At 40.5% G+C, this 27,549-nt stretch overlaps 1 long non-coding RNA gene across 2 annotated transcripts; it reads right to left on the bottom strand.

Moving 5' to 3' along the window:
* Nucleotides 1-3,138: 3,138 nt before the first annotated feature.
* Nucleotides 3,139-7,847, bottom strand: LOC105373373 (uncharacterized). Of its 2 annotated transcripts, none has more exons than XR_938533.1 (4): nt 7,695-7,847; nt 7,462-7,565; nt 6,406-6,515; nt 3,139-3,957 (listed from the first exon to the last, which is right to left on the bottom strand). It is a non-coding gene; the product is annotated as an uncharacterized LOC105373373 (long non-coding RNA). The 2 variants fall into 2 exon arrangements; XR_938534.1 differs by having other exon boundaries at nt 7,462-7,611; nt 7,695-7,837.
* Nucleotides 7,848-27,549: the final 19,702 nt, after the last annotated feature.

Genomic DNA, 27,549 nt, shown 5'->3' with positions numbered 1-27,549 from the left:
TTGGTAACATAATACATTCTTATAAAATACAATGCATACATAAAAATAGAAGACAGGTTTCTTGCTTCCCAGTTTATGGGAAAAAATATTTTGGTTTAATTATCATTTCCATTTTGAATTTATTGTTCCAGATTTACCATAATTGGTAAATGTATTTGTATTTTTAGGATTCATTAACAGTTTTGTGGGAATTATTTAGAATAGGAAAATGTAAATTGGATATTTCATCTAGAAATAGACATGTTGTGTGTAAAATTGATCACATATTAACATTTTACGTTCACCAATCAGCTTTTAAAAGATCAGCGATAAATCTAGAGTGGAAAGCAGAAAGTCCCTAAATCCTTTCTAGATGTCTTTTCCTTGTCTTGTTTCAACAGTTTTGGCTCAATAGGACGTAGGCAAGTGTAACTATTGAATATCTCTTTCATTTTCTGCTGTAATATATGAGTGTTTCATGGCAAATTTGCTTTCAAAATTATGAGTGACTAGTGATGGTTTTACATGACAATTTTTTAAATGTTTAAGTTCAGGGGTACAAGTGCAGTTTTGTGACATAGTTAAACTTGTATCATGGGGGTTCCTTGTGCAGATTATTTCATTATCTGGATAACAATTTGTAATCATAAGAGATGGTTCAGAGGTATAACAGAATGAGAAAGCCAGCAGATTATTAACACTTTGTGCATTGATAATTATCTGCTGTTGTATTTCACATGAGTGATTTTTCCTCTGACAATGACCTCTTCTTCATGTAGATATATACTATTTAGGAGCCAATGAAATTCTTTTTTTGGGGGGGAGGTATTCTTTTTAATAGCCTTGTGAAAATACATGTTTATGTGTCACTCTTCCAAACTAACTTAGATGATTTAAATAAACTGGTAAAAGAGTTTGAACATACAATTTTTAAGCCACTTAAGAAATATATATTTATAAGACAGTTATTTCAATAGAACTCACAAGTACAGAATATGTTGCTATAATGTTCCCACAAAACATTTATTAATTGATGTGAACATTTGAATAGAAAAGTTTTATTCTCAATGTTATTGCTACATGTTACCAGGGTAGGAGCTTTGGTATTATCTTTGACTATTCCAAGTCCATTATGCTTCCCATGCAGTTATCATTAGGCCCTGCAATTTTTACCTCTGCTGTGGTCCTTTAATTTCCTTCTTTAAATTCCCACTGCTGCTGCCCTAGTTCACATCATCTTTCGTTGCTTGTACTATTAAACTCTTAGCTGAGTTCTCTTTTCTCCTCTGAGTCATCCTTTATAGATTGGCAATATTATCTTCTTAAAACCTAGCCCTTCCCTCCTCCCAACCTGTCTGTGGTGTCCACTTCTAAATTCTTAGATAGTTAGAGACACTCCCCTTTACATGACCCCCTTTTAGGCTTGTTTCGTTCCATTCTGTCTTTCCTTCCACCTCTCTTGGTTGATAGCCTTCTCTGAAGGAACTCATCATTACCTCCAGGTTTTGCTCATGCTCTTCCCTCACAATGCTTTTAAATCTTTTTATGAACTGATTGAAATATGATTCTTTTGCCAACTATGCCAGCATCAATCTCCATTTTTGCCTACATGCCCGAGTGAGTTGCACTTCCATACCAATTATAAATTTTTGTATTATTTTATTCCTGCCTTTGCTCATGTCACAGGAATATGAAAGAGATTGTGTATTCATGTTTTACTTCTTTCTCAGTACTTAACATACAACATTTTAGGTAGTGGGAACTATTTAACTATTTGTTGAATGAATAGTATACATTTCAAACGTAAGTTATGTTTTCTCTAACTTGATGAGTTCATATCAGAGACCATTTTATCCCATCAGTGGAAATCATGTTACCTGAGTTATGAGTGACAATAAATGGGTCACTACTTGGTGAAAAAAATATGATATTTCATGATATAGGGCTGCCAGTCTTTTTTTGTAATGGCTCCATCTTGTCTTTAACTGTTCCTCAACTCATTTTTTCAAGCAAAGTACATGACTGTTGTACCTGCTAAATAATACTTCTCTCAAATCTGGCATTAAAAAATGTAAATGTGCGTGGTGTTGCACGCCTGTAGTCCCAGCTACTCAGGAGGCTGAGGCAGGAGAATCGCTTGAATCCAGGAGGTGAAGGTTGCAGTGAACCAAGATTGCGCCACTGCACTCCAGCCTGGTGACAGAGTGAGACTCGGTCTCAAAAAAAAAAAAAAAAAAAAAAAAGAAAAGAAAAATAAGTGGGTATTTCAAGCTCCATGTATTTATTACAATTTTAAATGTGGAATAAATAACCAAGTTAAATGCTGTTTCCTTTGAAATTTAAATTGCTGTGTTTGAAACGTGAGATGAAAAGTGGTGGTTTATCTGTGAACTATACTTTTTGTTTTAGAGTATCAAGAACTTGGAGGAGAATTATGAAAGGCTTCTTTTTGATGAACAAAGTGAACTTCAAAAATAAATAGTGGCTGGGTGCAGTGGCTCAGCCTGTAATCCCAACACTTTGGGAGGCCAAGGCGGGCAGATCACAAGGTCAAGAGATCGAGACCATCCTGGCCAACATGGTGAAACCCCGTCTCTACTAAAAATACAAAAATTAGTTGGACATGACGGTGCATGCCTATAGTCCCAGCTACTCGGGAGGCTGAGGCCAGAGAATCGCTTGAACCTGGGAGACGGAGGTTGCAGTGAGCCAAGATCGTGGCATTGCACTCCAGCCTGGGCGACAGAGCAAGAATCTGTCTCAAAAAAAGATAAAAAAAGAAAAAAAAAAAGAAATGGCCATGTTTTAAAAAAAAATTGTGTTGGAAACTGTAAGTAGTGAATATTTAATCCTAACAACTAAGGATTGATGTAAGCACTGGAATATTTTATTTGCAGAAATGTGTATAACAATTATCTAAATTTCCTTGTTTGAAACAGGAGCAGCAAGAGTTGGCACTTATTTGATTGCATCTTCAACCTCTGTTACTCTGATGACTGAAGAAAGAACTTGAACCTGTGTTATATCTGCTGAGACATTCCAAAGGGATTTGTGTATGAAGCAAAGGGGTTTGGGATTTGGGAGTTGTTTTACAGGTCTCAGGGAACCAACATACAAGGCAAAACTTATTAGATGGTAAAAGAGTATTAAAAGGGCGAATTTTATTGTACGTAAATTATACTTCAGTGAACTTGACTTTTAAAAGAAAGAAAACAATGAGGTTGAAGAAAGGACCTTGGAGACTAGCAATTCAGAAGTTTTTGGTGATGCTGGCAAAAAATTGTTTAATTAGAAACCAGATTGTAATGGATTGAGGAATAAATCTGAGTTTAGGAAGCTTGAAGGTGGCGCAAAAGAGGAAAAGGTAAGGTCTGTTAAAGATGGTTTATTGTTTGTTAGTTTATTGTGGTTGTTATTGTTTCTTTAGATGAGAACAGCTAAAGCATGTTGGTGGCCAATAGGAGCATTGAAAATACAAAAGGAAGAAGGAGTAACTGATACAATAAGATCATCAGTGCTAGACAGAAGGATCTCTGAGATGTTACTGGTGGATTCATTGACAGAGGTGGAGTGATGGAGTGATGGGAAATGCCATTTGATGGCCTCTGTTTTCTCGTGTAAAAGGAGGCAAGGTTAATAGCAGACAGCGATGGGTAACAAGTTAAATAGAGTGATAAATGAAACTGGGAAATGAAGGAGGAAACTGACCAGAAACAAATTTAAACATTTTGAAGTAATTCTGAATTTCCAACTCAAGCTGGAAACCATAATTCTGGAGAGATACCAAACTGTATAGTTTTGTGATTTTTCTCCAGCATTGCTCAGCAGCCTGGGAGCTGAGGAGAACACACATGATTGGGTTCTTCTGGGCTCAAAAGCTAGGTAGATGTAGTTGAGGGAATTGATGGAGCTGATGGATATCTCTAAAGTTCACCATGGGCATCCAGACTGGTAGAGAAGAAACTGGAAATTAGTAGTCTGGGAGAAAAGAGAAAAAAAAAAGAAAGCCAAAAAGTCATGGTGAGAAGATGGAATACTTGTTTTCTGAAGCCATTTATGCCCCCATAAGGAGCCTGCCCCTACCATACAACTCTTTTGCCACAGCTCTCGGGGATACCACAGAAAGTAGATTGAATACATTCGAGGGCATAGACTGGATTCAGAAACATAGCCTGGTGGTCAGTGTTTCATTCTGAATTTGCCACTAATTTAAGGCAGCTGTCATTACCACCATTATCACAGCATGCTAATCCTTAGGCAAGGAATATTACTTGTGCATTCAAGAGTAGAAGAAATGGGAACCTCCCATGGGGCAATGACAATAGACTTGGCAAGAGGTAAATCATTTCACTTTTTGCCTCAGATTCCAAAAGTGTATTGATGCTTCCCTCAAGGCATGCCCTTTTACTTCTGTTATCTTAAGATTGTCAATTTAATTCTGTTAGAGAGTCTACAGAGGTGGCACCCTTCTTTGGGCTCTTACTCTTCCTTTCTGCATTTTCTCTTTCCTTGCTTCCTCCTACCTTTAGGTATTAAATGTTATATGTCTCAGCAACCTTCCCCCACCAAGTGACCAAATAAAGTATTCCTATAAGCTTAGTATTAGATATTTTTTTGTGTGTGCCTAAGAGGACTAGGCTAAGAAGTTGGTGCTTAGTTAGAGAACACCTTTAGGTACTTTGCAGATAACACTGTAAAGCTAATCCCTCATGCACTGTACATGCAGTTGAACCTGGGTGTCTCTCTGGTATTCATAAGAAAAGCCCTGCTCCTATAGGCCCTATCTCCATATGTCAGCCTAGTAAAGTAACCAACCATGTTATTCACTGTGAGATACCATGTTCTAGTTATCCTTTACTTGCTTGAGTGCTGAGATGAACATAATACACAAGGTCTAGTAGTTCCTAAACCCTGTGAGAACTCCTAAGCTCCTTTTCTTGTTGTTGTCTACATATATAAGTTCAAAAAATAGTCTTGGGGGAATTTCAACAAACAATTCTAAATAAGTCCTTTTTTCTTTGCAAATATAAATCCTTGTAAAATTCCTTTTTTTCCTATCTGTTTCCTATTCCTGATTCTATTATAGCTCTAGCAATACTAAACACTAGCTGGTTTGGAGATTAATATAACCAGACATACCATGGCTTTTTTGTTTGTTTTTTTTGGAAGACAGAGTCTCATTCTGCTGCCCAGGCTGGAGTGCAGTGGTGTGATCTTGGCTAACTGCAATCTCCACCTCCTGGGTTCCAGCATTTCTCGTGCCTCTGCCTCCCGAGTAGCTGGGACTACAGGTGTGCGCCACCATGCCTGGCTAATTTTTGTATTTTTAGTAGAGATAGGTTTTCACCATGTTGCCTAGGCTGGTCTCGAACTCTTGGCCTCAAGCGATCCACCCACTGTGGACTCCCAAAGTGCTGGGATTACAGATATGAGCAACTGCGCCTGGCCATGATGAATTTTTTAAATCTCAAAAATCCCAGTTTATCTTTCTTGGCAAATCAAATATATTAATATGTTTTACGCACACACACACACAGAGTATATTATCATGTCTTCTCTAAATTATTTTTTTGTCTCACTGTCTCCTAAAATTGTTCCTAAATGCTTCTTTGTTACAAAGAGGTAGAAGAAAAAAAACCCCGAAGAATGGAGGAGAAAAGAATATGAAGTGATGGAAGATGGAAAAAGAAAGTATGCTATGGAATAAGCGAAACCAATGAGGAGATGGAATCAGTAGTGATTTCCGTTTTCCTTAGCCCCCTTAGACTGATTTGGAGTTTGGCTTTGATATTTCTCTCATCTAATGCCCCCCAAGTGACCTCTTCCTAGCAATTTGTTCCACAAAAAATATTCCTTTCACTGCCAGCAAATATCTCTTACCTGACCAGCAGGTTGAAATATCCTGCCCCAGCATCTAAACATTCTCTCCAGCCTGCCAAGCCCCTAATCGCCTGACCCAGAGGACTTGGACCCATTGCCATTAGTTCCACCCACCCCTTACCCCGCATTAGCATGGAGAGTGTTGATGGCTGTTGTACATCTGACACAACTTAAGCAATAATTTGGTTTTACTTGATTAAATCGCCTTCAAAATATAAGCAGGTAAACTACATGTTGAATTCATTAAATTCTTCCTCCACTCTTTAGAAATACGTTTTTTAAAAAGGAATTGATAGGTGTCATGTACATATTTGTTCACTTCTGTTGATGCAAGATAATAAGATTGTTAACATGAAGGTGGAATGATGGTATTTATATTTTCATCAACACTGTTTACATAAGAGGAAAACATCTGAAAGCAACAGGGAGAGAACATTTGCTGCTCTGTACATATATTAAATTCTTCCATTTTTGTTTATAAAGCATATGAGGAGGAAAAACAAGTTTAACAAATTGAGAAGCCCACTTGGATTTCTCCTGTGTCACCTGTGAGCCATGATTGAAGCCCTCTTAGGAAACTTGAACATCTCTCTGAGTTCTCACATCTGCGGATATGTCCCCGAGTGAACTGGGAGGCCTCTGTCCGTGGTTCCTGCCTGAGCACAGAGTGACCAGCAGAAGAATGAGGTGGGGCTGCCCTCTGTCTCCTGCACAGGCTTCCCCCAGGGTCTCGCTCCCTGAATACAGACGCACTGAGCAAAATTCCGAGAACGGCTGCTTGTTGTAAAAAAGCGATTTCTGGGTCCAACTTTTCTTCTGGTATTTGGTTTTTCCTTTTCCTCATTTTGGACCCACACCCCTGGCCACACCCCCTCCCTCTCATCACTCCTGACCACTCCCCGTCACTCTCATTCTTGACTATGCCTCATTCTCGCCTCATTCCTGACCACACCCCCTCACTCTCCTCACCCCTGACCACACCCCCATCTTTCATCACTCCTGACCACTCCCCCTCACTCTCATTCTTGACTATGCCTCATTCTCGCCTCATTCCTGACCACACCCCCTCACTCTCCTCATCCCTGACCACACCACCTCACTCCTTCATCATTGACCACACCCCTCGCTCTTGATACCCCTGACCACGCCCCCTCACTCACCGCACACTGGCCATGCCCCCTCACTCCTGACCACGCCCCCTCATTCCTGATCAGGCTCCTTGCTCTCTCTCCTTCACCTCTGACCACATCGCCTCCCTCTGCACTCCTACTCTGGGTGCAAGTGGATTTGCTGGCATCTGCTAAAGTCCTGATCCTTACAGAGGAGCATTTCTGCACTCGGCCCCTCCCAGCTGCACACCAAGCTTCTGAGGCAGAAAGCCAGGTCCTTGGATCTCAGCAGCCCCTCACTCCCCATTCCTGCATTCCTCTCTCTCCCTGGTCTTTGTGCCCAAGGGTGGCTTTGCAGGGGGCAAGCCTCCATGCTATCTGCGACCACCATTCGCACAAGGACTCTCCTCCTTCCACCCTCCCTCCAGCCTGTCTCTGAAGCTGCCTTCTCCCCCGAGCTTGGTCAGGTAAACTGCCCTGCCCCCTGACCCACCTGCTCCATGGCTCACTTCTTCCCCAGCACTCCTTCCTTCTGGCCTGCATTCACTCCTTCAGCAGCATCAGCACCAATTCATGTGCCCAGGACTGTGCTGGATGCTAGACCAGACAGACAGACAGATGTCACCACACCACGGGGCCAGCACTGTGGAGACACACCAGGGGTCAAGGGCCCAGAACGGTCCTCACACATCCGGGTCTCCCAGGAAGGCCCGAGGAGGTTCTTACCCATTTACTCATCTAAGTGGATGGCAATCTGTTGACAGAGGCCCCGAGCCTCCTCTCTGTATCCCAGTGCAAATTATTGGCCCTGGGTGTGTTGGGGAATGTGTCCTGAGCCCTGCAGAAGGCTCTAGCACCCACACTCTCTGCAGGTCTCCCAGGGCTCCTCCAAGCTGAGCCAACCACAGTAAGGTGGGTGCAACCATACTTCCCAGCCCCAGCAGCTGATAGGTGCCTATTCAAGTATGTTTGCAAAACTCTTGAGTTAAAGTTAACCAGTCTCACTGCTGAAAGGTTTTTCAACTGTTCAGACACTTACGGCCATTGTGGTTTTCCACAGGGGAAGTAGAGAGCGGCATTTTTCTTGGTTTTGTTGTTGATATTGTTTATAATACTCACAGGCAGTTTTAAAACAATAACATCCCATAGGATTGGTATAACATTGTAATGGCAAAGAAAAATAACAACAACTGCTGACATCATTAAGGAAGCACATTTGCAATCCAGGCACGGTACCAAGAGCTTCAGGTGTATCTCCTCCCTTAACACTCAAGACAAACTCATCTCTTAGGTGCTACCTGGACATCCGCAGTAAAGGTGAAGAAACTGAGGTGCAGAAAGTTTCAGAAACTTGCTGTGATGATGGTAAGGTCAAGAGTTGAGCTCAAGGAATGGGGTCCCCAGGCCTTGTTCCTACTCCCATCCACATGGCCCCCTGGAACACTGGGGGCGAGGTTTTGTTGTCCAGCTCAGTGCACCATGACTCACAGGGACCTTCTGTCTAGAGAGAAATGAACACATTTATTCCAATTCACTGATGTTCTCTCTGAATTTACCCTTTTAATTAAAAATAGGAGGCCGAGTGTGGTGGCTCAAGCCTGTAATCCCAGCACTTTGGGAGGCCAAGGCGGGCGGATCACCTGAGGTCAGGAGCTCGAGAGTAGCCTGACCAACATGGAGAAACCTGGTCTCTACTAAAAATACAAAATTAGCTGGGCGTGGTTGCACATGCCTATAATCCCAGCTACTCGGGAGGCTGAGGCAGGAGAATCACTTGAACCCAGGAGGTGGAGGTTGCAGTGAGCCGAGATCATGTCATTGCACTCCAGCCTGGGCAACAAGAGTGAAACTCCGTCTCAAAAACAAACAAAAAAACAAACAAAAACAGGAGTCAGTACACCAGTGCATGAGCTGAGCCCAAGACCCTGATTCCAAAACAGAAAGCAGACTGTTGTGTTCTGCTACTATAAACAACCATTGCAGCCTGCATTTCTCTGCCTGCACTGCTGACCAAAAGCAACGTGCACAATAGGAAGCATGGCATCGTGTCTACCTGAGCCAGGCATTCTATAGACCAAGGGTCCCCAATCCCAAAACTGGGCCACACAGCAGGAGGTGAGTGGTGGGCAAGTGAAGCTTCATCTGTACTCACAGCCACTCCCCATCACTCACATTATTGCCTGAGCTGCATCTCCTGTTAGATCAGAGGTGGCATTGGATTCTCATAGGAGCACACACCCTGTTGTGAACTCCACATGCCAGGGATCTGGGTTGTGCACTCCTCATGAGAATCTAGTGTCTGATGGTCTATCACTATCTCCCATCATTCCCAGATAGGACAATCTAGTTTCAAGAAATCAAGTTCCAGGCTCCCGCTGATTCTACATTAGGGTGAGTTGTATAATTATTTCATTATATGTTACAACATAATAATACTAGAAATAAAGTGCACAATAAATGTAATGTTCTTGAATCATCCCAAAACCATCCCACCCCCAGTCAATGGGGAAAAAAAAATCCATCCTCCCCACCCCTGTCCATCTTTCATGAAACCAGTCCCTGGTGCCAAAAAGGTTGGGAACAACTGCTGCAGACCATGTGTCTATTGAGGAGTGCAGATCCTGCAGAGAAGGGAAGGGAGAAGTCAGGTGGGATCTGGGAAGCTGTGCTAGCTTACCCACTCTCCTCTGTCCCATTCCCCTGGTGTAAATACCCCTGCCATGGCTGATCTTGAGTGACCATCGAAGCATCACTGACCTTATCATTGGCTCTCCTGAGCTCCTACATGTGGGCTTCAATGCACCACCAAGATGTGAGTGCTGGCTTCTTGTTTCTTTCTTTCGGTTTTCTTTAATTATTTATGTGTTTTTGCAAAAGGAGATGCACAGCTCTGAAGTCACAGCAATTGTGCTGCAATTGAGATTCCAGTGCCAAATTAAAGACAACTTCAAAATATAAGAGTTGTTACATATTTATTTCAGGCCTAGCACAACAGCTCAACAGTTGGACCCACATTATAGAAGCTTTTGTGTAAGTAAATGAAAGGTATTATTGACAATAAATTTAAGATATCTGACTAGAAGGGCTTTGGTTAGAGAGGATTCACAGCATCACCATGAGATCCTATGAAGGAAACGAAGTGGCTGAATTTGGCCAACATCATGAAGGTCTAAAGCAGCAGATATGCTGCCTTCTTCTGCTTCTATTTTGTTCTTTTAATTGTCCATTCATTTTTTGATTCATCAGTTGTTGTGTTCTTGCCATCTATCAGTCATGGTATTAAATGCTATGACTTGGAGGTGAAGACTGAGGCACAATGATTTATTCTGTCATTGAGCTTGTCATCTTGGAGCTTGGTCTCCCCACCCAGGAACCTCCTACAATGAACTTTCCATATTTAGAGCGCCCAAGTTGAGGGTATGATTGTATGTATGTGCATGTGAGTGTGGAGGGGTACCATGACAACTAATGAATCTTAGAATCACTGTACCGGCTCTATCATAAATTATCTTAAAATTTCTTTTTTCATATTCATATTACGAAGCTAAGCTATGCCTAGCTGGCATTGAATTCTGATAAAAATCTCTTGGTTTTATGTCAGCAATGAGCAATCTTCCTTGGGAGTAGATAGTCCAAACTGGTCTTTGGTTTCTGTGCAGCCCAAACTGAGCAGAAAATCTTGAAATTTCTGAGACTGTAGGGGGTTGTTTAAGCCCATCTGAGCATGGTGCACACAGATGAAAGCAGGCTGGCCTTCAAAGGACTACTCTGAGAAGGAGAAAGCAAAGGCTTCAGGCTAAACGTCAGGGTTAGAGGAATGGCTCCCAGCCCAGTAGAAAAGAATCTGTGTCTCTAGAAACAACAGAAAGGAAACAAGAAAGGAAAAAAAAATCCCTGACACACTCCAATCTCAGAGAGAGGGATGGGGCTGAGCTCCACTGGGCAGTTTCAGGTGAAGGGATGGGAACATGATCCTCTTCCTGGAAAAAGTCCAACAAGACAACAGGCCACACAGCCAGCCAGCTGCCCTGGGCACAGCACAGAGCTTCCCAAGGACCCCTGGACACTGAGAGGCTTGCTCAGGAAGGGGCCCAGTGGACAAAGGTGGATTTGAAATCTGAGACCCTGGTTTCATTCCAAGGCCTCTGGCCCTCAGCCTCAAGAGGAACAAAGCTCACTCTTCCCCAGTTGTATGTGGACAGGAAGCTACTGATGCCCTGTTCAGTGAGCCACCCTACTGCCCATGGGCTGGGGCAGCAGCTTTGTCTCTAAGCCACCAGGCAAGATTCCCCTAGATAAGGGCTGACCACAGCCTGAAGCCATGGCCCCAATTCCCTGGACTCTGAAGGATGTTGTTCCTCAGATAGGTGTTTTAGGTAGACTGAGACAACTTAGTACAGTTAAAAGAAAACAGGATTGAAAATGGGGTGGAGCTCTGTTCAAGTCCTGGCTAAACATTTCCAACTCTCTGGCCTTAGAGAACCAATTACTATTTCTGCATGTGAATGTTTTCATTGGTAACATAGAGATGCCCTGATTTCCCCTGCAGGGCTGTGGCAGAAATGGGAGGCCAGGTATGCAGAGAGACTTTAGGTATCCCAGATACTTCACAAACCCTTGAAATTAACACTTACAAGCTAGTTAGCTGAAAGAAACACAAAATTAAGGCCATTTTCTCTGGTCTTTTGACCCAAACACTGTAATACCTGGAATACTCAAAGAAAATAAATATTGCAAGCACAGGAGCAATAGGGGGGGTCTGGAATTGCCTTTGAATGATCTGAAAAAACAAAATTCCTTTCCTCTCTTTTGCTTGGCTAAGGAGCCTGGATCAAAGGTCCCCATACTCCCCACAATGCCATTCTCTGGGGACATCATTACCATGGACACAACCGTTTGTTGGTTTCAGTGCTGCGGTGTTTACACAGAATGACTTTATTGGCTATCCCTCCTCTTGTCCCAGGAAATGTCTTTTGTTTTATCAGGCAGAGCAACAAAATCATATGGTGAAATAATCATCCTGATAATTAATCCCTTTCATCAAGAGAGCTAAGAACACACATTTAAGGGCCACATATTAGCAGCAATAATATTTAGAAATGGAAGAAGTGATTTTATTGCTTTAGTAAGGCATGTGGATTAGGTTGACCCCTCTAATTGATGCTCTGCTGAGTGTGAATCTGCGAGTTGGGCAGCACACAGACATTAATTAGTCTGTGCTTGGGCACACACCAGCTCCAGTACACTCAAGTTTCATCCCAAATTGCTGCTATAATTCCCCACTTTCATCTTGGTAGACAATATTACATTTGTGATGATTCAAATAGATTTTCTGCAGGCATTAAATTTTTAGTAAACAGACCCAAATTAATACCTGTTTATGACATTTTACTCCAGGGATTAAATCAAAAGAACTAATTTGATATATAAATATCTCTTCTCTGCTTTTAATGAACAGGTATTTTTGTTGCTGTTGTTGTTGTTGAGAGCAAAATTAGACACATGCCTCACTCCTCCAGGCTGCCTAATCATATGCGCTCCATGCCTCCCATTGAGAGAGTGTTATTACCTTTAGGAGTGAAGACAGAAGCATGTTAATTTTCCATAATTCAGTGAAACAAAACATAGATCTGAAATCTCCCTCGGTGGAGTTCCTTTCTCATCTATAGTAATGGGGTTGCATTTTAATGAAAACAATTCAGTCCGTTCTAATGTAACCATCAGGGCAACACCAGCCTCACCAGATCCTGATTTGAGAAGATGGTCTTTTCATTTTGCTTGGTGTTGTGCAGGTGATAAAGAAACTCAAGTGTCTACGAGTGACCTTGATGGCAATGTTGCATTTAGTGCTAATGAGGGTGGCTTCACGGTCCAAGGATGAACGGGCTGGCAGTGGGGTTTCGGCAGCCTCAAGTATCCGTCCACTTCCCACACTGACGGTAAGTGCTCACGGCTTATTTACGGCCTGCAAAGATGAAATACTGTCATACCTGGGCAAAGCTAACTTTGGCATGGAGACCAACTTTTAGACTCCAGTAAACTTTGCAGAATCACAGATGACAGGTCAGAACTGTGTTTCTTTCTCCTTGATGAGGTCGCTGATATCATGATGATTGAGAAATGTCTCCTGGCTAAAGATGGCAAATTTGACACACTCACTTAGCTCTTTCTCTTCTCAAAGCCTAATTATAGTCATAGTAAAAGGACTTTTCAAAAGGCCTAAGCCCACACAACAAAGGGAACAGACAGGGACAACACAATTTTGGAAATGGGGAAGGAAAGACTAAGCAAAAGTGACTTAGCAGACTGTCTTGGTTTGGAGCCTCATCAAGGAGAGGGTTCAAGTGCAACTAGCTTATTCAAAAGGTGAAGGGAACACCTACAGCGACGTGGGCAAGTGAGACAGGGAGAAGAAGGCACCAGGAATGGGTGTATCATCAAGCCAGTTACCACCAGGGGCAACTTGAACCTGACCTGCTGGGGAGATTCTGGAAGCCAAGGTAGAACACCTACCTTCATTAGATGGGTTCAATAAAATTCTGAGGGAAACTTTCAGAAACTAAGAGCACAAAGAAATGGAGAACAGGAGAGGTCATTTAAAAAAAAGAAGAAGAAGAAAAAATAAGACCTGTCCAGTTTTCTCTTGACCCCACTTTTCCCACCAACTACTACATATTTTTTACTGTTTTGCAACAAAGATGATTATCTGTTGCTTGTCCCTCATTCTCTTCTAAACTGACATCAGTGAGGCATCCAGTCACCAGTAACTTTCATATTGCTAGACCAGTGGCCAGTTCTCAGGTGCCATGTGGTTTGCTCTCACAGCAGAGCCTGCATGTGCTGTGTTCGCATGGCTTCCCGACCTCACTCCTTCTTGCTTGTTTTGGCTTCTCCCTCCCGCCTCACTGATTGCTCTTTCTCAGCCTCCTGTTCTGGCCCTTCTTCTTCTCTTTGAGCTTTAAATGCTGAGTGCCTGAATATGGGACATTCTCCCTGAGGTCCAAACTCACTGTCTCCGTGGCTCTCATCCAGGGTGAGGTCTTGAAGATCATCCCTACTTTGAGGACTCTATGTCTGCAGATTAGAACTTTCCTCCTAATCCCAGACTAATCTGTCCAGCTGCACTTGTCACATCCTCTGGATGTCTGTCATCTCAGACTCAAAATGTATAAAATTAGATGCCTCACCATCCCCCCAAATTCCACTTCACCACAGCCTTTCTCATCTCAGCAATGCTAGGTCTTTCCTTTTAGTTGCTCAAACCAAAAATTTGCAATCATCTTAAACTCCTCTTTTTCTTTTCTCTTTCCACCTCCAATATAACAGGAAGTCCCACTGGCTCTCCCTTCAGGAGGTATTCAGAATGTGACCGTTTCTCTCCTTCATTGCTGCTGCTGTACCGAGAGTACCCACCTCATCTCTCGTGTACACTGCTACGGATATTCCCAACAGGCCTTCCTGCTTCTACACTCATACAGGCCGTCCTTAACTCTGGAGTGAGAGTAAGACTGTAAAGCTGTGTTAACTCATCATCACCGCTCTGCCGAGAGGCCTGCTTGGGTCCCTCCATGACTCAGATGAAAAGCCAAAGCACCCCATCCCCACCCCAGAAATGGATAAGGGCCTTGTGATCTGTCTGCCTCATCACCTACGACTCTCCCTAGCTGTCAGTCTACTCCTGCCACTCTAATTCCCTGATGTTTCTTCAACATGCCAGGAACATGCTTACCTCAGAGCCTGCTGTGGACTGAAAAGTGTACCCCAAAATCCATCTGTGGAAGCCCTCATCCCTAATGGAAGGGTATCTGGAGATGAAGCGTTTGGAGGTGATTAACTTAAGCTTAGTCAAGCTCAGAGGGCAGAGCCTCAGGATGGCATCAATGCCCTGGTAAGGATGAACACTGAGACCTGGCTGTCCCTCGCTCTCCACTGTGCAAGGACACAGTGAGATGGTGGCCACCCACAAGCCAGGAAGCAGGCACTCACCAGAAAACAAACCCTACGGGGCCTTGACACTGGCCCTTCCAGCCTCCAGAAAGGCTAGGAATAAATGTTTACTGTTTAAGTCCCTGGTCTGTGGGACTTTGTTATGGCAGCATGAGGGGCTGATTGAGAGCCTTTGCATGGCTCTTCATTCCTCCCAGGATGAGATTTCCAACTCTTGGCTTCCTCACCCCCTCACATCATCATTTCATGTTGCAACCACCCACCCACTACCCCTGTCTCTCGCATTCTCATTTACTTTTTCTTTAATTTCATAAAACATATCACAAAGCCATTTGGTTATGCATGATGTTTATTGTCTATTTTCTGCCTCCCTGCTAGAGGGTAAGATGCTCAAGAACACTGCTCTGTCTGCATCCCAGGACCCAGAAAATGTTTGACGCATGGTAAAACTTAGATACCTTTGTGTTTAATAAATTAATTGAAGGGGTCTGCAGACTCTTCAGTACAATTGATTATAAAGACCCAAACCAGCCCCATCATTACTAAACTTTAATGAGGCAAGTAGGAGATCATTTTTCAGTGGGAAAAATCAGGTTCATTCAAAGTGTTGGGGAATCTAAATGCTGTCAAACTTCTCAACAGCAACCTTGAAAGCTAGGAGATAGATAATGCCTTCAAATGTCTAGAGGAAAAGATCTCTCACATAGCATTTTCTACTCAGCCCAACTTTTGTTCATGTAGGAGGGAAGAATAAAGGCATTTTCATACATGCATGTCGACTTGAAGCAGGTATTACCCATTCACCTTTTTGGGGGAGAGTACTCTAGTATATGATTTAACAAAACACATCTATAAACCAAGTAGCTCCAAGAAACAGTGACTTCACCCAGGAAGGAAAGGAAGAGGCCGTCCAGGATGGCGATGACACCAGCAGTGAAGCAGCCCAGAGAGCACCGTGCTCAAACTGAGCCTGAAGACGAAGGATCCCAGAGTGGCGCCCATGAACACGCAAGAAAGAAATTATCAGACAAGGGGACACCCATTGACGGGGAAGTGTGCATCTGCAGGGGAGTTGCAAGATATACCAGTCCTAAGCACATTAAAAACGGGCAAAAAAAAAATGATTTCAACAAGATGATTACTGCTGAAGAAAACAAAGTTCATTAAAGGAAATGTAATTATAGTGCATTGTGTGTTCTAGCCAAGAGCACTATTTACATAATCATGATGCTATAAATATGTAATAATCATCTGCCACAAAATAAGATGTAACTAAGTTGGGGAAAGGTGAAGCCAGTGTGAGTGTGAGTGTGTCAATGTGTGTAAGAGTGTGTGTGAGAGAATGTGAGTGTGTGAATGTGTGTAAGAGTGTGTGTGTGAGAGAATGTGAGTGTGTGAATGCTAGTGTCTCAAATGTGTGGAGTTTGTGTGACAGTGCAAGTGTGTGTGTGAGCAGATGTGTGTGAGACAGTCTGTGAGTGTATTTGAGTGTGCAAGTGTGTGCGAGTGTGTGAGTGTATGTGTGATGAGTCACATTCATAAGCTGAATCATCTTCAAAAGATAAGATCTAAACCTAAAAATTCAAGTGATTGGATGAAAGCATTTGATTTTAAAATATGGAGTTAAATATCAAAAAAAGGTCCTTGCATCTGGGGAGCAAGAATCAAAAGTGGATAAGAAGGGTCGCAATTTTAATTTTTAATTTTAAGCACTGTAGTATCCTTGTTTTTAAACAACTGTTTACATGTATACGTGTGTGTGTGTGTATGTGTGTGTGTGTATCTTAGAGAAAATTAAGATTTTTTTTTCTGCTTTTTTTCCCTGCTTTTCTCAAGGGATCCACAATCCGGAGGGAAGACCCATAGGCTTCCCAGCATCCACACAGCATCATTCTCTTTGCCTCTGGTCTCTGCCAATGGCGCATGACTCCACTGGCCGTCCAGGAGGACAGGCCTGGGACTCTCTGTTACTCCACACCCACCCCACCTCACAACTCCTTTCCCTAGATCTCTGCATATCTCATTCCTTCTTGTCCTTCAAATTCAGGGCACACCTCTATCCTGCTCCCTCATAGAAAGGTCGTCCCTCTCTCTCCTTCCCTTCCTTAAACTGTTACTGTGCTTGCTGTATGTCTTCCATGGTCTTTGCCGTTTTCTAAATGCAGTTATATCCATTTGTGGCTGTGTCCTATTCACTTCTGGTGAGTTCTTCAAAGTCAGTTTGAAATTCTAGAACATATCCACATAGAGGAACACTATTCTATTAGTACTTTTAAAGATCCACTCTTCTTTTAATGTTCCTATTCAATGTCTGTTTTTTGTAACTTCTATTGTCATCATAATATATCCTCATCTCTGTTTTGTTTGGAAATATTCTTCTGTACCTCTTATAACTACTTAATTGGACACTGAGATCATTAGTGTGTAAGTTTCCTTATTTTCCAGATTATGCATTTAAAGCTTAAATTTTTCTCTCCGAGCTGCTTTTTCTGGATTATGTTAATATTTTGTGTAGTATTTTTAGCATTTACTTTGAAATGTTTTGATTTCCCTAATGAATTCTTTTTGACTTGTAAGCTATTATTAATAGGTATATTGTTAAATGTTTGAATATTGTTATAAGCTTAAAATATTTTTGTGGTTTGAAAAAATGATCCTTATGATAGCAACTCTCTGCAATTTCCCAGACCTAGCACATGGCCTGTCGTGGTCTATGCCCCATATGAGCTTACTTTCTCTAATAAGTGGCAGCATTGATCTAGTTAATGAAACATGCTTTAATTTCATTTTTAAAATAATTTCAACATTTGATATTTTATTTATTTGATTTGTTGAAAATTGAGAGAGGAATGTTAAAAACTCACACTATGATTTTATATATATATATTAATTTCTGTCTGTAGTTTTGAATTTTCTTGGTTTATGAATTTTAGGTGTGTTTTATTAAGCACAAATGAGCTTAGAAATGTCATATCATTCTTATAAGTAGTAACTTTAATCATTTTATATACATTTTTATCCATGACAATTATTTTGACTCAATATAAACTTTCTGCATTTTATAGAGCCGTCTCCTCTTCCTTTGGTTCTTATTGCCTGCTGTATTTTTTCCCATCTGTTTTATTAATAGTTGTTTACAGCTGCATAACAGATACCCTAAAATTCTGTGGCTTTAGTACAATCTAACCTTGTTCTACAGTTTCTTTGGGTTAGGAATCTGAATGTGGCTTAGTTGGGTGCCTCTGGTTAGCAGTGTCTCATGAGGCTGCACTGAAAGTAGTGGCTGTGGCTGCAGTCTCATCTGAACGTGTGGCTGGGGGAGGACTTGATTCCAAACTCACTCACCTGGTTACTGGCAGGACTAAGCATCTTGTAGGCTGTTCACTAGGGACTTCTCTCAGATCATTGACCCATGGGATTCTTTTCAGAACAGCTTATAAAATGGCATCTGGCTTCAATCAGATGAGCAAATGAGGAAGTGAGAGTGAGCAAACCAGTAACCTAATCTCAGAAGCAGCATCCCTCCAACTTTTCTGTATTCCGTGCATTAGAATCAAGTCTCCAGGTCTCTGGGACCAGCCCACATACAAGGGAAGGGAATTGCAAAAGGATGTGAAGATTGCAGGGACCATTTAAGCTGTTCTTTCATTTGTTACAACTGCAGGTGTCTATTGTGTTGTATTTCTTTCTGCTCTTTCACTTTGGAAAGTGCACTTGGGAAATCCCATTTTAGGGTGGTGACTTTGAGGTCCTGGAAGATGACAAGGTCCTCTCGTCAAAAGCCATCAGTTTTGTCCAGGCTTCTGAGGGGATTGGGCTGGGCAGGGGTGTAAGCGATTTTTAATTCCCTGAAGTGGATTAAAAATGTCCTCAGATTCTTTGCAGGTCTTTCACCCAAAAGGAGAGTCTATTTCTCCACCCCTTCACTTCTGGGGTCATTTGCTTTGACAAGTAGAATGGGTCTTTGCAAACCTTCTAATCAGCATCTCCAGAGCCTTTGCAACTTCCACCCTGGTACAATCACTGTATGTGTGTTTATTAAATTATGTGACTCTTTGCCATGCATGGTGGTGGCTCATGCTTGTAATCCCAGCACTTTAGTAGGATGAGGCAGTAGGATTGCTTGAGGCCAGGAGTTCAAGACAAGCCTGGGCAATATAGTGAAACCCGTCTATACAACAAGTTTTTTTTTTTTTTTTTGAGACACAATCCGAGATTGTGTAACAATTATTCAAGCCTTACGGAAGCACATAGAGAGTAACAGTTTCTGTCACCTCAGTGATGGTCTGTATTAGAAATGTGATAGATGCCACCGGAAAGCTCTTTCCTGCCCTGTCCGTGTGCTAATGTTGATCTCGCAGTGGTGTGAGCGTATGTTGCTCTGTAGCACTGTCCACTTAACAGTATAGCCAGACAGTGATTTCATCATGGAACTGAAGGTGGAGATGCATGAAGCCTGTAGATAAGTCTGCATCATCTGTGCTTCATACAGCATCAGCTATCCTCCCCATTCAGAAATGTGATTGACAAACCCCTTAGCTACTGATTGCCCTACTTCTTTAGACCGGATGTAGCTGAAATTCTGGTTCCTCAATGATCACTTTTGTGAAGTCTTCATTTTGAGGAGCAACAATGTTGGATTATAGGGTAAATCTGAGTGTTCAAATTTATATTTAATTTAAGCACCACTGAAAGATTCAAAAGAACAATATGCACTACTGATTTTATTAAAAAGTATCTAGCCTGTATTTAAAGTGAATTGATTTTTTTCTTCATATTACATTATTCATTTTATTATAATCATTAATACAATATTATCCATCTTGTTGTCCCATATATTATGGCATTTCCCCCATATGTGAATATATTACCACATAGAAGGAAATGACCCCATATTCCTAATACATAATTAGATACATGAGTTGATCTCTTTACAGGCAAAAATGTACCTCCTCCATTAAATATTAAAGGGAAGGGAACAATATAATACTCCACACTTGAATCTTGTAGCTCCAAACTCAGACAGAAATGTTGCTAATTTGCACATTTTATATGGTACTGAAGACTGCCACATTAAGGAGTGTTTTTATTGTAGGCCACTGTCATCAAATCAACTTTGCATAAGAAAACTTATGAAAATACAAACCGTTCTGTCCTCACAACTTCAGTCCACCACACTGGCAAATGGAGTCACACCTGCATGCTCATAGTTTATCACCAGAAACTAAAAAGCTACTAGAAGAAAACTGTGGGGAAATGCTTGAGGACACTGGTCTGGGCAAAGATTTTTTGAGTAAGCCGTCCAAAGCACAGGCAGCAAAAGCAAAGTAGACAAATGGAGTCACATGGAGCTCAAAAGCTTCTGCACAGTAAAAGAAACAATCAACGAAGAGACAACCTAAAGAACTGAAGAAAATATTTGCAAACTATACATCCAACTAGAGATTAATAACCAGAATATATAATGAACTCAAACAACTCAATAGCAAAATAATAGTCATAATAATCTGATTGTAAAATGGACAAAAGATCAGAATAGACATTTCTCAAAAGAAGACATACAAATGAGCAACCGGTATATGAAAAAATGCTCAACATCATCAATCATCAGGCAAATCCAATTAAAACCACAATGAGGTATCATCTCACCCTGGGTAGAATAGCTCTTATCAAACAGGTTGAAGATAACAGATGCTGATGAGGATGGAGAGAAAGGGAAGAGCTCTTACACTATTGGTGGGAACACAGAGTACTACAGCCATCATGGAAATAGATGTTCCTCAATAAACTAAAACTAGAAGTATCATATGGACCAGCAACCCCACGGTTGCATATATATATCTCAGAGAAAGGAATAAGTATGTCGAAGAGGTATCTACACTCCCATGTTTATCATAGCACCATTCACAATAGCCAAATGATGCCATCGACCTGTTGTTGCGGGAAGTCAGGGACCCCGAACGGAGGGACCAGCTGGAGCCACGGCAGAGGAACATAAATTGTGAAGATTTCATTTTAACATGGACATTTATCACTTCCGTAATAATACTCTTATAATTTCTTAAGCCTGTCTTTACTTCAATCTCTGAACGTAAATTTTGAAGATTTCATTTTAATATGGACATGTATCAGTTCCCAAAATTAATACTTTTATAATTTCTTATGCCTGTCTTACTTTAATCTCTTAATCCTGTTATGTTCATAAGATGAGGATGTACATCACCTCAGGACCACTGTGATGATTGTGTTAACTGTACAAATTGATTGTAAAATGTATGTGTTTGAACAATATGAAATCAGTGCTCCTTGAAAAAGAATAGAGTAACAGCGATTTTCAGGGAACAAGGGAAGACAACCATAAGGTCTGACTGCCTGTGGGGTCGGGCAGAATAGAGCCATATTTTTCTTCTTGCAGAGAGCCTATAAATGGACGTGCAAGTAGGGAAGATATCACTAAATTCTTTTCCTAGCCAGGAATATTAATAGTTAAGGCCCTGGGAAAAGAATGCATTCCTGGTGGGAGGTCTATAAACGGCCACTCTGGGAGTGTCTGTCTTATGAGGTTGAGATAAGGACTGAAATACGCCCTGGTCTCCTGCAGTACCCTCAGGCTTACTAGGATTGGGAAACCCCACCCTGGTAAATTTAAGGTCAGACCGGTTCTCTGCTCTCGAACCCTATTTTCTGTTGTTTAAGATGTTTATCAAGACAATACGTGCAGAGCTGAACATAGACCCTTATCAGTAGTTCTGTTTTGTCCTTGTCCTGTTTCCTCAGAAGCATGTGATCTTTGTTCTCCTTTTTGCCCTTTGAAGCATGTGATCTTGTGACCTGCTCCCTGTTCTTGCACCCCCTCCCCTTTTGAAAACCTTACGAAAACTTGCTGGCTTTAAGGCTCAGGTGGGCATCACAGTCCTACCGATATGTGATGTCACCCCCAGAGGCCCAGCTGTAAAATTCCTCTCTTTGTACTCTCTCTCTTTATTTCTCAGCCAGCCGACACTTATGGAAAATAGAAAGAACCTATGTTGAAATATTGGGGGTGAGGTCCCCCAATAACCTGTGATCATCGACAGATGAATGGATAAAAGAAATGCACTATATATCACAATGGAATATTATTGAGCCATAAAAAGAATGACATCCTGTCATTTGCAGCAACATGAATGCAACTGGAAAACACTACGTTTAGTGAAATAAGCCGGGCACAGGAAGACACATGTCACGTGTTCTCACTCATATGTCAGAGCTAAAAAAAACTGATCTTATAGAGGTAGTGAATAGAATGGTGGTTACCAGAGGTGGTTACCAGGAAAGACAGGGAGGAAGGAACGTTGGACAACAGATACAAACATACAGTTAGACAGAGGAAATGAGTCCTAGTCTTCAATAGCACGGTAGAGTGACTATAGTTAACCAGAATTATCACATATTTGAAAATACTTGGAAGATTTGCAATATTCTCAACAGGTAGAAATGATAAAAGTTTGAGGTGCTAAATATCCCAACTACCCTGATTGGATCTTTACACAGTGTATTCATGTATCAAAATGTCACACTTACCCCATATATATTTACAACTATTACATAGCAGTAAAAATCATGACAATATCAGTAATTAACAGCTAACTTTTATTTGACATGTATGATCTGTCTAAGCTTTTCACCATCATTGTTTCCTCTGACACTCACAATATTCCCACGACACAGATACCATCATCACTGTCAGTTTTACAAATAAGAATAAGAAGAAGTGATTCCAATGTGCTTTGGTTGAGCAGCACTGAGAGAGCCCCGATTCATCTGGATAAGAATGCAATGCACTGCTTGGTTTAATTTTACACCTCAGAGCTTTTGTACTGTGAGTGCAATAAATCTGGTGTGTGCACAGAAATCAGGGCAGAGTTAAGGTCCTCCTAAGGAGTGAGTCAAGTATTTTTTGATTTGGCCAGATCAGCTTTCTTTAGATATCTGCACAAAAATACTAACCTGCCAATCCCAGATGGAATTTTAACTAACATCAGGGAGACGAGATGGCCACTTCCCTCAGGTGTAAGAAGACCCCTCTCCAACAGGCAGAGGCAACAGACTGCATTTATTCTGGGTTTCAGTTGCTGAAGGAAACGATTTGCCACTGGTTTGTGGGCACATTTTCTTGGAAGCTAACTTTGCCCGTTACCTCTAAATTTTGTTCAGTGCATCGTTGTTATAAAGACATACTTAGATTTTTGTGATTGTACATTTCAATAATTCAGTTGTTGAGTGAGACAATCTTAGGAGACATAATGTTCTTGATGTCAGCCATTTTTCAAAGGAGGTGTTTATTATGGAACTAAAGGAAACTATGTGCTTCAATCTATCAACTAGACTATAAAAGAGCTAACTGCAATTTTCAAGAATATGTATTTAGTAAAAGGTATTTGACTTACCATTTCTGGGAGAGAAGTAAATTTTTACATTTGTTTTATTGTGACTTGTTTCTGATATTCTGACTTAAAATTTCATGGTCACAAAAAAGTATAAATTAAATGTTCTCTTTATGAAAAATAAAGTACTGGCTACGCACAGGTGACATGAGAAAAATAGTCACTAAAAAGTGGTAACCAAGAGGGAATCCTGAAGTAATCTACGGACTTGGGGTGATAATGATGTGTCAGTGTAAGTTCATGATGGGTAACAAAGGTACCACTCTGGTGGGGGATATTGACAGTGGGGAATGCCATTGTGGGAGAACAGGGGCAAATGGGAAATCTCAGGACTTTCAGATCAATTTGTTGTAAACTGAAAATTATTCTAAAAACTAAAGTCATATATATGTGTGAGTGTGTGTGTATGTGCACGCACATGTCTATTTACAAACACACACACGTATATATGTATATATACATATTATACACAAACTTACACACATCCCTAATAACTTTTCAGAGCAAAAACTTCTTCCTTTCAGAATATCTGCCAAAGTGACTTCAAGTATGCAGTTACTCATCTGAGGTAGCAAGGGGTGGCATAAATATCAACCATTCCATCATTAAGTACACTGTGTCCTAACTCTTGTCCTTCCACTGTAGAATAAATATTTACATAGCTCAGTATGAATATCAGAAGTCTCACAAGGACCTCTGGAGTGCTTATTTTGCCTCTGTGACTACTGAAAAAGTTCTCAAATAATGATCTTCTTAGAAACTTGATGTAGTACTTATATATCAATACACGCTTTGGATAAAAGAAAAATCCTTTACCAAAATGCACTTTAGGAATTAAATGAACCTCATAATGTCCAATATTGGATCATGACAGAGGACTCATTTTTCCTATATAAGTGATATAAAACTAAATATATATGTGTGTGTATGTGTGTGTGTAAATTCATGTCTATTTACACACACACACATATGTAAATATACACATTATACACACACATACACACACCCCTAATAACTTTTCAGGGCAAAAACTGCAACTTTAGGAATTAAATGCCCCTCATAATGTAGAAAAACAGAATCTGTATGAACTTGGTTTTTTAAAACTTGGGAAACCTTGAAAAGATAAAAGTGGTATAGCAGGGCCAATTAAAATGAAAATCACAAAGAAAAATCAGAGGAAGTGGCTCCTCTCCTCCCAATGGGAGTATGGGGTTTTGAATGATTCATGAACACAATTTCAGAAACTCTGCAAAAGAATACGTTTAACTGACTTACTCCAAAATTATTCTGAATTTCATACTTACTATATAAAATGTTTCCAAATGAAGATTTTGTATGTTGTTACATGTAAAAATTGCACATTGCAAAAAGACAGGTAGACAAATTGATGATTCAAGTTTTCAGATCCATGTATACCTAAACTTCCATGTACTCCATGAATATTAAACTTGAAAGACAAAGCACTCTACATAATTTATCTTGCCACAGATGAGAAATACTTGTAATCATAAGTAATTAAGTATACATACATGTTAATAAAATACTTTCAATCAATGCTCAGGGGAGGTATCATTGAATGGTGAACCAAAACAAATTAAATGGCATTTTGATGTCTTTGTGGAAATGACATATCCACAAACCAGTGGCTCAGCACTGATAAACATATATCTTGTTCAGTTGTCTTAATCATTTGTAGTAAAGTTTTTCAAGAACACAGACTTTAACTTACTTTAGTAATTTTGATAAGGCTACAGAGTATTTTTAAATCATACTTTTATTGGAATGTGCTGTTTAAGCTAATGAGTAAATACAAAAGAATGCACAGATAATATAGTCTTCTTTTATTGTTGTCCGTAAAAGAGAAAAATGTACCCTTCCATGCCCGTGCTTTCCACATTTTGAGACTGATACAGACCCACAGAGGCCACACCTAAAAGTATATTATCTTTAATGTTACAACTTAATTAACCATTATATAACTGAACAATTGCTGCTACTCACATAACTGTGTTTAGGGTTCATTCCACAGAAACGAGGTTTTGCACTTAACAAACCAATTAATGATAAATGAGGTATACTGGTTTGTACAAGAATTATCAAAACACTGTCAGTGTGGTTTAGTGTAGCTGGAGTTATGCTTGTATCATATAACATGGGTTCAAGTTATTTCTTCAGTCATCAGAACAACAGAGGTTGAAGAGACAACTGAATAAGTGCCAACTCTTGCTGCAGTTGTTTCAAAAAAAAGAAATTTAAGGAATTCTGATACATATTCCTACAAATACAGTATTCCAGTGCTTACATCAATCCTGAGTTTTTCAGATTAAATATGTACTACTTACAGTCTCCGACACAATTTTATTTTGGAACACGGCGATTTATTTTTTAAGTTGACTTTCTTCATCAAAAAGAGTTGTTTCATAATACTCTTCCGAATCCTCGATGCTCTAAAACAAAAAGCCTAGTTTACTGACAGGCCGCCACTTTACATTTCACGTTGTAAACAGGGTAAATTAAATGTCAAAAGGAAACGGTTTGTAATAAAGGATGCTGTTTATTTACTTCAAATTTAAAAACTGTAATCAATACATGGAGCTCCAAATGCCCACTTAAGCTTTTTAATGCCAGATTTCAGTGAAATATTATTACAGCAGGTACAACAGTCATGTACTTTGCCTGAAAAAAATGGGTTGATGACCATCTTAAGGTCGAAGTGGAGCAAAGACAGAAAAAGACTGGCAGTCTTACGTCATGAAATACCACATTTTTTCACCAGGTAGTGATCCATTTATTATCACTAATAGTCCATATAACATGGTTTCCATTGAAGGGATAAAATGGTCTGTGATATGACTTCATCAAGGTAGAGAAAACATAACTATATTTGAAATACACCCTATTCACTCAACAAATAGTTCAACAGTTCCTACTCCCTAAAATGTTGTATGTTAATGCTGAGGAAGAAGTAAAAAGCGAATACACAATCTCTTCCATATTCCTGTGGCATGAGCAAATGCACGAATAAAAAAAAGTAATACAAAAATTGTGTAACTGCCATGGAAGGACAACTCACTAGGACATGTAGCCAAAAATAGGGGCTGATGTCGACTTAGTTTGCTAAAGATTTCAATCGGTCAAAAAAAGAACAAAAAGATTTTAGAAGCATGGTGAGGGAAGAGCAAGAGCAAAGCATGGGAGTAACGGTGAGTTCATTCAGAGAAGGCTGTCAACCTGGAGAGATGGGAGGAAAGACAGAAGGCAAGCCTAAGAAGGGGTCACGTAAAGGGGAGTGTCTCTGAATACCTAAGAACTGAGAAGTATGAGAAGTAGACACCACTGTCAGACTGGGAAGAGGGAAGAGCTAGGAAGCATTTTAGAAAGGGAAGGGAAGGGTTTTAGGAAGATAATATTGCCGATCAATGAAGGATGGCTCAGAAGAGAAGAGAGAACTCAGATAACAGCTTAGTAGTACAAGCAAGGAAGAATGAGGTCTTGAACTAGGGCAGCTGCAGTGGGAATTTAAAGAAAGAAATTAAAGGACCATTGCAGAGGTAAAACTTGCAGGGCCTCGTGACAACTGCACGGGAAAGATAACAGACCGGTAAGAGCCCAAGATGATACCAAAGTTCCTACCGTCTAAGTGGTAACATATAGCATAAGCATTGACAGGAAAACTTTTCTAGTCTCATGTTCATATCAATTAATAAATGGTTTCTGGGAAACATAGCAACATGCTCTCTGCTTGTGACTTCTATTTAAATAACAGTTTTGTGTATAGATAATCCTCAAGTTGCTTGAAAATTTTATTATCAAACTCTTTTCCCAGTTTATTTAACACATCTAAGTTAGTCCAGAAGAGTGACTTACGAACGTATATTTTCACAAGGTTATTAAAAAGAATACCTCCCAAAAAAGAATTCCATGGTTTCCTAAATAATATACATCTAGAGCAAGAAGAGGTCATTGTCCGATGACAATTCGCTAATGTGCTGTATGACAGCAGTTAATTCTCAATGCACAAAGTGTTAATAATCTGCAGGCTTTCCCATTCTGTTATACATCTGAACCATCTCTTTTGATTACAAATTGTCATGTAAAACCATTACTAGCCAGTAATAATTTTGAGAGTAAATATGCCATAAAACACTCCTATATTACAGCAGGAAATAAAAGAGATACTCAGTAGTTATACTTGCCTACTTCCTGTT

The sequence above is a fragment of the Homo sapiens genome, chromosome X, assembly GCF_000001405.40.
Source record: "Homo sapiens chromosome X, GRCh38.p14 Primary Assembly".
Taxonomy (NCBI): Eukaryota; Metazoa; Chordata; class Mammalia; order Primates; family Hominidae; genus Homo; species Homo sapiens.
Note: the sequence above shows the minus strand (reverse complement) of the source record. Positions and strands in the feature narration are given on the sequence as shown.